The sequence below is a fragment of the Homo sapiens genome, chromosome 6 (assembly GCF_000001405.40).
Source record: "Homo sapiens chromosome 6, GRCh38.p14 Primary Assembly".
Classification (NCBI taxonomy): Eukaryota; Metazoa; Chordata; class Mammalia; order Primates; family Hominidae; genus Homo; species Homo sapiens.
Window position 1 is genome coordinate 151589180 of NC_000006.12, and position 12259 is coordinate 151601438.

At 41.9% G+C, this 12259-nt stretch overlaps 1 protein-coding gene across 4 annotated transcripts in view; it reads left to right on the forward strand.

Moving 5' to 3' along the window:
* Window positions 1–12259, forward strand: part of CCDC170 (coiled-coil domain containing 170) — a 127177-nt gene that overhangs the window by 95163 nt on the left and 19755 nt on the right. For all 4 annotated transcript variants that reach the window (NM_025059.4, XM_047419372.1, XM_011536148.3 and 1 more), the window contains 2 exons: window positions 3928–4101; window positions 7156–7398. In NM_025059.4, coding sequence (NP_079335.2) covers window positions 3928–4101; window positions 7156–7398 — 417 coding nt within the window. The remainder of the gene's footprint in view (window positions 1–3927; window positions 4102–7155; window positions 7399–12259) is intronic.

Below are 12259 nucleotides of genomic sequence, written 5' to 3' on the forward strand. Positions count from 1 at the left end.
GAGAGGCAGAGGTTGCAGTGAGCCAAGATTGCGCCATTGTACTCCAGCCTGGGTGACAGAGACTCCCTCTCAAAACAAACAAACAAACAAACAAACAAACACAATAAAACAACCACGACCAAACAAAATGAAATATTGCACCTGAGTATGGTAATGTAAATTGGAAGCCATCTAACTGCCTGCTGGACAGCTTCACCTGCATGGTCCGTGAACACCAAAATACACTCAAAACTGAAATGACATCTGCTCAAATTTGTCCCTCTCCTGCTTCAGTCATGGTGGTAATCTGCCTCCATTTGCCCAAGCCATCTTCAACACTTCCCTCTTTTTAATCAATTCCTAAGCACTGTAAATCCTGTCTCCTTACTAGATCTCCAATGCCTCCCCCATCTCTATATCCAGCAGCTGTGCTTTGGCTCTGAGAATTGTGCTCATTAACACGGACTAGGGAAACAACCTACTAACTGAGCTCCCAGCATTGTTCTTTGTGCCTCAGATTTACTCTCTTCATTGCTGCCAGGGAGGTCTTAATGAAAGGTATGCCTAATCTTATCTTTCTTTATCTTAAAACTGGTCAGTGGTTCTCTGGTGCCCCCAGGATCAGGTACAGATTCCTTCTTTTTCCATGGCCCCACGTTCTGTGAGCTGGCCAGGTGGCCTCTCCATCTTCCCTCTCCCCTGCAATTTCTCCTGCCAGCAGGGGCAAACTCAGAAGCCTTCTGGGAGTGGCAGGACCCTGGTGGGGTCTGCGGTGATTACGGAGCCTAAAGACATCCATGCAGATTTGTAGCAGCACTCGTCTGGCGTCCTCCAGCTGCCTCCTACATTGCCCACTGCTATTTTCACCGAGAGAATGTTCTCCTTACCTCCTTCACCTGGCAGCAGCAATCTCTTCGAGATTCAGCTCAAATACCACTTCCTCTGGCAGTCTTCCCTAAGAGACTTACCTATCTTTCCTTTTGCTCTCCAAGCAACATGCATCTGCCTCTCTCATGGTACTTTTTACCATTATTGGATTGTTTTTAAATTTTTTCTTCTCCAAATATACCAAGCTTCTTAAGGCCAGAAAAAATCATTTTTTCCTGTATTTCTCCAGGGCCTAGAGAAAGAGTCAATAAATATTATTTGAATTATAGAAGAAATATATTAAAGGCAAGAATTTCAGGTGGATTGGTATTTCTTCCCTTCCCTTACTATAAATGAATCATTAATTTTAATTGGGATTATGTTCAAATAACTCTCAGTTATGAAAGCAAATTATGTAAGCTAACTCTGTCCGTCGTGAATTTTCCGTCGCTAACTGCATATGAAATGCACGTTCTGGTAAGGATGGATAGTATCATGTAAATTGAAAAGCAAAGTTGCACAGAGTTTAAATGCTAAATGCAGGTAATCTGGCAGACTCAAAGACAGTAGAATGCAGTTTCTTATTTATGCTGAACTGTGATTCAAATGAACAATATATACAGTAATCCTTCATTTCTATGAAGTTAAAAGTTTCTAGTAACCTTAATCTTTTGAAATAGAGACAAAATCCTTGAAATAGAAACTTTCTCTTTGGGGTCTCGGCTTGCTCTTGTCTTAATCCCTTTTTGCCTGTTGTAGTCCTGGCCTAGTAAATGGATGGGTCATATGTAGAAATAGAAAGAAAGAGGGTTTCATACCGTCATGTAATAGGTACTTATCTATTTTATGTAAAATACAAGCAATAGCAGTTAGGTCACTTTCATGGACACAGGTTAAAAATTAAAAATTCCAGATAGCTGATACAGCATTAAACAGTGATAACCTGAGGATGTAGAGACAAAAGCAGTTTATGGTATTGTAGCACAATGCAATAAGTGATATTTGCAATGACTGTGACTTATAAAGAAGAGATAAAATTGTATTCATATGTATGCTATTTGCCAAAATTGGAAAATATACACTTATAAATAATTTCATCCTGATAATTAAAACATAGCTAGTTCTGGGCTTTAATCTGGTGTGCTTCAGTTGGCAGGAAGTTGTACCTATTTAAACATTTAATTGCCTGAATAAGCCAGATGGATAAGTTATTGCAATCAGAAGAAAATATCAAAGATAAAACCCAAATCATAAAATGATGATATAGAAAGCTCATTGATTGATTTATTCATCCAGCAAGCACTTAGTAAGCATTGTCCTATGTGTGGACTTGCCAGATAAACCACGGAAATCAAGCAGAGGAAAACCTTTAAATAGCTTTCTAACTGTAGACTGCTAAAATATGAATCTTGACTTCCTTTATACAGCGCTGTTTTAGGGGGGAGGTGTTCATTTAACTTGGATGCATTAAACAATTTTTTTTTTTTGAGGCGGAGTCTTGCTCTGTCGCCCAGGCTGGAGTGCGGTGGTGCAATCTCGGCTTACTATAAGCTCCGCCTCCCAGGTTCACACCATTCTCCTGCCTCAGCCTCCCAAGTAGCTGGGACTACAGGTGCCCGCCACCACGCCCAGCTAATTTTTTTGTATTTTTAGTAGAGACGGGGTTTCACTGTGTTAGCCAGCATGGTCTCCATCTCCTGACCTTGTGATCTGCCCTCCTCGGCCTCCCAAAGTGCTGGGATTACAGGCATGAGCCACCGCACCTGGCCCTGCATTAAAAAATTTTAAAGAAATTTTCTAAAATATCTTAATTAATAAAAAAGACCCCAAAATGTTGTTCGAAATTTTGTTTGTATGGTGAGCTTTGAGTTTGGAGTGCTCTGTAGAGCCCAAGAAGAGTAAAGTGGCAACTGGCTAAGTTGCCAGTGACAACCGGCTAAGTTGCCAGTGACAACCTTTGAGGCCAGGGCCCAGTTAGGTGGGAAAAATTCCCAAGGAAGGTGCATGGGTGGGTGTGTTAGTCCATTTTCACACTGCTGACAAAGACATAGGCTGGGCACGGTGGCTCATGCCTGTAATCCTAGCACTTTGGGAGGCCAAGATGGGTGGATCACCTGAGGTCAGGAGTTTGAGACCAGCCTGGCCAATATGGTGAAACCCCGTCTCTGCTAAAAATACAAAAAAATTAGCCAGGCATGGTGGCACGTGCCTGTAATCCCAGCTACCTGGGAGGCTGAGGCAGGAGAATTGCCGGAACCTGGGAGGCGGAGGCTGCAGTGAGCCAAGATCAAGCCACTGTACTCCAGCCTGGGTGACAGAGGAAGACTCTGTCTCAAAATAAATAAATAAATAAACAAATAAATAAATAAGACATACCTGAGGCTGGGTAATTTATAAAGAAAAAGAGGTTTAATGGACTCACAGTTCCACGTGGCTTGGGAGGCCTCACAATCATGGTGGAAGAGTAAGGGATGTCTTACATGGTGGCAGGCAAAGAGAGAGAACGAGAGCCAAGCAAAAGGGGTTTTCCCCTTATAAAACCATCAGACGTCGTGAGACTTACTCACTACCATGAGAACAGTATGCGGGAAACTGCCCCCATGATTCAATTATCTTCCACTAGGTCCCTCCCACAACATGTGGGAATTATGGGAGCTACAATTCAGGATGAGATATGAGTGGTGACACAGCCAAACCATATCAATGGGTGGATCCCAGGGGCTAGATTAGCCTGAGAGGGGCATGGTTGCAGCAACAAGTTGTCGAAGCAGAGAGATGAAGATGTCATCAAACATAGCCAAATGTGTTGTTTGGCAGAGTTAAGAAAAGTATATAATATTCGATTGAACATGAACATCAAGGGCTAGGAGAGTCAAGAGCATTCAGACAAGGGGTAGGCAGGGAACTGGCAGGGTGGTTCAGGAATTTATTACCACATATGGGTCAGAGTCCGTGCTCCGTTCCATGCTCTCTGCAAAGGAGAATTACCTGTAAGCTTGGGAGAAAGAGGAAGAGATTCTGTGAGATCACTCATTAACTTTGACTTTCATGTCCCATTTTTGTTTCTGTTCTTGGGTTTAGTATCTTAAATTTCTGGATCAGCTTTCTCAGAAAATGAAGTTGGACCAGATGGCTGCCGAACTTGGCTTTGACATGCGGCTGGACGTGGTTTTAGCTCGAACAGAGCAGCTGGTTCGTCTTGAGAGCAATGCAGTCATTGAGAACAAGACCATTGCCCACAATTTGCAGAGAAAGGTAGGAGATATTGAAACTTGCTAGTATTGAGAGAAGAAATTTCTGAAAAACCCAAACATTGAAAAATAATGTACTGCCACCATGTTTACCAGTGTAGCTAGGAAGGCTCTTATAAAAATATGTATTTAGAATTGGAGGCTCAATTTCAAGTCTGAAGAGTTGGTAAGTGTATCTGTCACCTAAGGTTGTGTTTCACTGTGTGTAATGGGTACCCACAATGGCAGTGACTTAAGCAAGTAAAAGTTTTTTGTTGTTGTTGTTTGTTTGTTTTTTCTCACACAAATTCCTGGAGACAGGAAGTTTGGGGCTGGTGTGGCAACTCTCCTCTGTAAAGTCTTCAAGGAACCAGGCTCATTTCAGCTGATTCACTTCCCATCCCTAGGGTGATCCTTATTCTCATGGTTCCAAATGGTGCCCAGAACCATTATATATCTGTGTTTGAGATAGAAGAGAAGAAAGGAGTGAGGAATAGGGCTGCAAAAGAACAAGCAGAGGCATCTTTAAAAAAGGCACTCAGAATTTGCTACATGAACTTTTGTTTATATCCCATGGCCAGAATATGTTTTGGTGGTCAAACCTAGCTGCAAGGGAGGCTTGCAAATGTAGGCTTTACTCTGGGTAGCCATTTACCTAGCTAGAAAAAAATTCACAGTTTCTATTACTTTGGGAGAAGAGGAGAACTGGGGGGACATTTAGCAGCCTCTGCATTTGTAAACTCAGCTGCACTAGAAATTCTAGCAGAGAGAGAAGGGCTTACTTTTCTTCACTCAAAGGAAGAGTTAGAAACAGTTTATACTAAATCAATGAATGAATAGATGAAAGGTATAAAATATAATTATTAGTTACATAATTATTGGTATTGGGGAAAGAAATAGGAAAACACAGATGTATTCTTATAATAGTTCTTAGGAGAGAAATGCTATGATACAATTCCAGTGTAGATGCTGTATAATGAGTCACATCTGGGCTCCCAATTCGGTTCCATCAAGCTGTGTGACCTTGAACAGATTATATACCTCTCTGTCTCTGTTTCCTCATATTTAAGATGGGGATGCTATATACCCCAAGGAGTTGTTAGTTTTTAATAAATAACATTTTCAAACCCTTGGCTCACAGAATATGCTGTATTCATGTTTGGCTTCTTCTCCACTACCATATCTTGAGGAATATTTTATAAAAGATAGCATACAAACCCTATTACCATTAGAGACATTAAATTCAGCTACCATTCTTTCCAAAGTTCTGCTCAGATAATTGATTCTTTTTCTCAGTGTCCAACACCATTACTTCTTAATAATTATATAATTATTAAACTTACCAGTTTATAGAATTTACCAGTGTAAAATTGCAATGGAGTGGAATTTTCTTTTCTTTTCTTTTTTTTTTTTGAGACAGAGTTTCACTCTTGTCGCCCAGGCTGGAGTGCAATGGTGCGATCTCGGCTCACTGCAACCTCTGCCTCCCGGGTTCAGGTGATTCTCCTGCCTCAGCCTCCCAAGTATCTGGGATTACAGGCACCTGCAACCATGCCTGGCTAATTTTGTATTTTTAGTAGAGACAGGGTTTCTCCATATTGGTCAGGCTGGTCTTGAACTCCTGACCTCAGGTGATCCACCCGCCTTGGCCTCCCAAAGTGCTGGAATTACAGGCATGAGCCACCATGCCCAGCCTGGAGTGGAATTTGACATGAAGAAGCTTAAGAAAGGGAATTTGATTAGATAAATATTAAAAAGGTCTTGTTCAAAAATGATCTGGGTATGGACACAGCTGTCACTGTTAGGCAGGATACTCAAAGCAGCATTTCAGTAAGTCTTTCCACCTGTTACCACTTTACAAGTGCAGAGTAGATAATTAGGGGAACTTTGATGGTCTTCAGCTTGAACACTTGATAATATATGATTCTGATTCTGATGTTTATAGCAGATGACAGAGGTTTCTGTACTTAATATTCCATCTACTAATTGTGACATGTGGAGCCTAGGAAGCTTCTTCCCCCTCTAGAGTCCATAGTCATTTTCTTAAATATCACTCTAATTTCCTTTTTTAGGTTTGGTTACCAATGATAAATGATGTTTGAGGAGCTATCCTCTGCTTAGTTTGTGGACCTTACAGGCCAGACATATAATAAAGACCAAGAAACCTTCTTACAGTCCCTTTTATTTCTAAGATTTTATATGTATAAGCAAAGCTTTAAAGCAAAGCTTACTTAAAAATCTCCTTGGTATATCTTACTTTAAAAATATATCAACTCTCAGCCAGGTGTGGTGGCTTACACCTGTAATCCCAGCACTTTTGGAGGCTGAGGCAGGTGGACCTCTTGAACCCAGGAGTTCAAGGCCAGCCAAGGCAACATGATGAAACCCTGTCTTTACAAAAAAATACAAAAATCAGCTGGGTGTGGTGGCATGCATCACAAGTCCCAGCTACTTGGGCGGCTGAGAGGTGGAAGGATTGCTTGAGCCTGAAAGGGAGAGGCTGCAGTGAGCTGTGATCATGCCACTACACCCCAGCCTGCACAATAGAATGAGACCCTGTCTCAAAAAAAAAAGTTGATATATATCCACTCTCATGTTGGGGGCCACGTGTTCCAGTTCTAAGGGATTGAAATGAGCCAGTCTAGGTTTACAGTACTCACTTGCATTGTATCTTATTTCAGAAAATGCCAGTGCAGATATTGTGGCCGTTAGATGTTGGACAGGATTTTGTCTCTCTGTCTTATTACATTCTGCTCTGATAAACTCATCTGAGGAGTTTTTTAAAAGTAATTTTACATTTTTATGATGATGCACATAATGTTAGAGAGCATCAGATGTGGAAAGCTGACTCCTGCACATTTTCTGGGGCTCTTTTGTCTCAGATTTTAGGTATGCAATTAATTCTTGGAAAGGGTATGAGTAAAAAATGCAATCAGGAAAAGGAATCCAATGACTTTTTTGATGGTTTACAAATTACTCTTATTGAGGTGTAGATAGAGATCAACATTATCTGGGTAACTCATTTATATTTACTATTGTTCAATTATTAAAAAAAAAATCCCTGTTTGCATCAAACCAGCTAAAGACACAGAAAGAGAGACTGGAGAGCAAAGAATTACACATGAGCCTCCTCCGGCAGAAAATAGCCCAGCTGGAGGAGGAGAAGCAGGCACGCACGGCCTTGGTGGTTGAGAGGGACAACGCGCATCTTACCATCAGGAACTTGCAGAAGAAGGTGGAGAGGCTGCAGAAAGAGCTGAACACGTGTCGAGACTTGCACACCGAGCTCAAAGCCAAACTGGCCGACACCAATGAACTGAAGGCAAGTGCTTGGCTTCATTTTGTTGTTGCTTTTTGCTGGTTACTGTCAATGTTTTATGCAAAAGAATGACAGCTTTATCGGGACACGCCAGAAGAAGAAAGATGAAAGCCTCCTCTGATTTTCTAGAATTATGGGAAAAATGCAAAAATGACACAAATCAGGGTACATATCCATTCAGTGTCTCTTCAATATCTGAAGTGAAGCCATCATTGCTAGGTGAAAAGTCAGTCAAAAAGTGGTGATGTTTCCTTTTTTAAAATTTTTTTGAGGAGGAGTTTCGCTCTTGTTGCCCAGGCTAGAGTGCAATGACGTGATCTTGGCTCACCACAACCTCCTCTTCCTGGGTTCAAGCGATTCTCTTGCCTCAGCCTCCTGAGTAGCCAGGATTACAGGCATGCGCCACCACGCCTGGCTAATTTTGTATTTTTAGTGGAGATTGGGTTTCTCCATGTTGGTCAGGTTGGTCTCGAACTCCTGATCTCAGGTGATCCGCCCGCCTTGGCCTCCCAAAGTGCTGGGATTACAGGCGTGAGCCACTGCGCCTGGCCTTATAAAAAATTTTTTCGAGACTGAGTCTCGCTCTGTTGTCCAGGCTAGAGTGCAGTGGCATGATCTTGACTCACTCACTGCAAACTCTGCCTGGGTTCAAGTGATTCTCCTGCTTCAGCCTCCCAAGTAGTTGGGATTACAGGTGTGCACCACCATGCCATGCTAATTTTTTTGTATTTTTAGTAGAGACAGGGTTTCACCATGTTGGCCAGACTGGTCCCCAACTTCTGACCTCAAGTGATCCACCTGCCTCAGCCTCCTGAAGTGCTGGGATTACAAGTGTGAGCCACTGCGCCTGGCCAAAAAGTGGTGATGTTTTAAGTCCAGAAAAGAAATACATTTCTCCAAAGTGTTGGTGACTGCTATTAGTGATGATGCAGGGATTAATCACATTGGAATTTGCTTAGGAAGAAATGAGAAAATGGGCACAACTGTTTGCTGAAAAGAGTCAGGCAGGCAAGGGTATTTACGTTGTGCTCTGTAGGATACATCATTACCAAGTCCAGTGGAGAAGGTCACCAGAACTGGGGAGACAGTTCCTATATTCAAGGTGTTCAACTTCTAACGAAGGCAGAGCAAAAAGAAATGGAAACTTACAAGAATTTAATCAAAAGATTTACGTGTCATGCATGTGTGCCACTGGCAATAATATGTAACTTAATATGCACACATCATCCTCAGCAGGTGTGCAAATCGCAAGTACAGTGGACAATAACATCCTGGCTCTTTGCAGACAATGCTCTGAAACTGCTTTTTGGAAGGTTTCCGAATCTGGAAACAGACAAGCAGGGAAAAAGAATCTGGAATTAAGCCAGCCCTTGAACATGTGTAGTGGGGACCATGTTTTAGAACATATTTTCCACTGTAGTTTCCCTTCTGGGTAGTTTTCTTTTCCCTGCTGAAGCCCTTCTGCCATTGGGGCTAGACTGCCAAGTTGAAGTGTACTTCCTTGGAGAAGGGGAGAACGGGCACCCCCCAGAGAAGGACACATCTGAATACAAGGAAGGGGGGAAGCAAGGGAAAGCATCTGAGGTGGTGCCATGGGTGGGGAGGAAATATCAGAGGTAAATCCCCTCAACAGTCCCTTTGCAACTTGAGACTGACCTTTAGTGGGGATTTGGAATAGGGTGGAATAGCATCAGCTGCTCTAATCCTGGCTGGAAGAGGCTGCAAATGGTGATGAATCTTGGGGGCCTAGATTGCACCTCAATTCCCTGGAGCCTGGAGTTCCATTTTCACTAGTGAGGGATATGGATGACAGCTGAAACGCAAGCTGGAGAGCTCATTACAGGAGCAGATGGGGGTGTTCGGTTCAACTGAGGGACAAAGTGACCCTCCATCAGAGGCCCTGGGGTCATCACCTAGGCTGTGGCCCAATAGCAGCTACAGCCGAGCCTTGAATTAGCTGAGACCAATGATGTGGCCTTGACTCTGGTGAGAGACCGTCACAAATTTCACAAGTCAAATAATAGATATAGGAGAGATTCAGGGGCAGCATGAGGGCCAGAATCACTTTTTCTAAAATCACAAGGACTTTCCTCCACCCAGTTATCATCTCAGAAAGAAGGAGGGGAGAGAAGAATCCCCTAAAGATGGCATTGTATGAATAAAAACAAATTTTAAACCCAAAGAAATGCAGTTAGCTGCAAATACCATCTGCTCTAACCATTTGGGGTGACGGTAGTGGGGAGTTTGTTTCCTGTATCCAAAGGACTATGCAGATTATCCTAAAGTTAATGTGGCTGGGACATTGCACCAGCTGCTCCTGATTGTAGGATGTGCGGGTGTTCATCCCTAGGCCAGAGGCACTCATCCCCTCTGACATCTTTGCTTATAAGGATACAGGAGTACTACTTTGTTAGAGAGAATAAAGGGCCTTTGGACACTTCCAAAGAAGCTAGAAAAGAAAAGTTAAAGAAATGGAAACCAGTGGTAAGACAGCTAATAGTTGGAGAATGTCATTGAACAAAATAGGAAAAGGAACCTCACCATTATAGCCAATGTGTGATGCACACCTTTGAAAAGGAAACAAAATTTGGGGCTTTAGAGAACAATAAGGAGAATTTGCAGACCTGATCTAACACTTTTGAAGAATTTCTCTTACCCATAGGGAGGTGCTTTCATGTAGACAAGGATATGGCAAAATCAGAGCTGTACAGTGTTTCTTGAACTCAGACTGAAAAATCAAACAGTCTTCTGTCTTTGCCAAGACTTTATAAACATAGATTACCTCCTAGTGCTGTCATGGTATTTGGTACAACATTGCTTCTGATCAAACAACAGTTGTTTGGAGTAGAGGATGAGGATGAGTGACAGTCAATGCAATAATAGGTGAATAGGAGGTCTGGTTGGCTGCTGCTGATGCCTTGACAATGTCTGGGAGTTGGGGAGGGGAAGAAGCTGAGCAGTGGACAGGGGCTGGATCACATGGAGCCTTATGTGTCACACTAAGATGTTTGGACTTATCCTCTGGGTCCTGAGGAGCCATTGGAGGATAAAATTGTCAGGAACGAGACTGAGAAGAAACAGAGAGAGAGATAGAGAGAGAGCAGAATGAGGCTGTGGTCAACTATACCAAGTACAGCAGTGCGATAATGACTGAAGGAGTGTCCACTATACTTGGCTTTGGAAAATCTGTGAGTCAAGCATGTGCGGATCATGGTGGTAGTGGGTGAGGGTTCTGAGAATAAGTCAGATTTCAGGGATGAAAGAGAAATGAAAACAAAGACAGTGCAATACCCTTCCGGGATACTTGGATGAAAAGAAGAGAGTTAGGAAAGTAAATAAAGTTGGCTTGCGTATTTACTTGGTTGCCTTATTTTGAATAGACAGATCCACATACTTTTACAGATAAGATAATAGGAAAGGTATAGGAGAGACTTGGTTTGACTGACTCAAGAATTACTCGGGCCCCTACACATTTCAAAGGAATGTTAAGTCTTCCTTCCAGTGTAGAACAGAGATCTCTCTAACTTGTTAACACAGTAAGTGTCAACTTCATGCATTTATGAGATATCAAATACAGAATAGATTTTTGTTTTGTATTTGATACAAATCCAAAATATCAGACTTCTGAAATCAATTTCCAAGACAGATTACCGGTATCAGCTATCCACCATTGTACATTGCCTTAAGCTTGTCCCTGTATTAATTTCACTATTCATAAAGCAATATTTCTGAACATTAGCAAAAATAGCTTTACTGTATTAGTTTCTTAGGGCTACCCAACTACCACAAACTGGGTGGCTTAATACTCAATCCCGCTAACAGTCCTTGGTTTATAGCTGCATAATTCCAATCTGTGCCTCCCCTTCACGTGACCTCCCCCTGTGTGTCTCTTCTTTTCTGTCTCTTATAAGGACACCCATTGTTGGTGTTAGGGCCCATCCTAATTCAAAATGATCTCATCATGAGACTCTTACCTTAATCATTACCTGCAAAGGCCCTTATCTAAATAAGGTCACATTCCGAGGTTCTGGGTGGACACAGCTTTTGGGAAGGCACTACTCAAACCACTACACTTATTAAATTAACAATTTTACCACTCTTAGAGGGACAATATAAAATAATAATTTGAATTACATTTCTATGGTTTTTTTTTAAATGAGAAATATTTACATGCCATAAAGTTTATTTTTTAAAGTGTATAATTGAATGGTTTTTAGTATATTGACAAGGTTGTACAAACATCACCGCTATCTAATACCAGGACTTTGCATCACTCCTCCCACATCCTCCCCCAAAATCCCACACCCATCCACAGTCATTCTTCATTTACCCTTTCTTCAACTTCTGGTAACCAGTCATCTTTCTGTCTTTATAAATTTGTCCATTCTGTAAATTGTATATAAATGGAACCATATAATACGTGGCCTTTGTCTCTGGCTTTTTGTATTAGTCTGTTTTCCTGCTGCTGATAAAGACATACCCGAGACTGGGCAATTTCCAAAAGAAAGAGGTTTAATGGATTTACAGTTCCACATGGCTGGGAAGGCCTCATAATCATGGCAGAAGGTTAAAGGCACTTCTTACATGGCGGTGGCAAGAGAGAATGAGAGCCAAGTGACAGGGGTTTTCCCTTATAAAACCATCAGATCTTGTAAAACTTATTCACTATCATGAGAAAAGTTGGGGGATACCACCCCCATGATTCAGTTATCTCCAACTGGGTCCCTCTCACAACATATGGGAATTATGGGAGCTACAATTCAAGATGGCATTTGGGTGGTGACACAGCCAAACCATATCACTTCTTTTACTTAGTATGAGTATACTTAATATTTTCAAGGTTCATCCCATGTTGTACCATGGA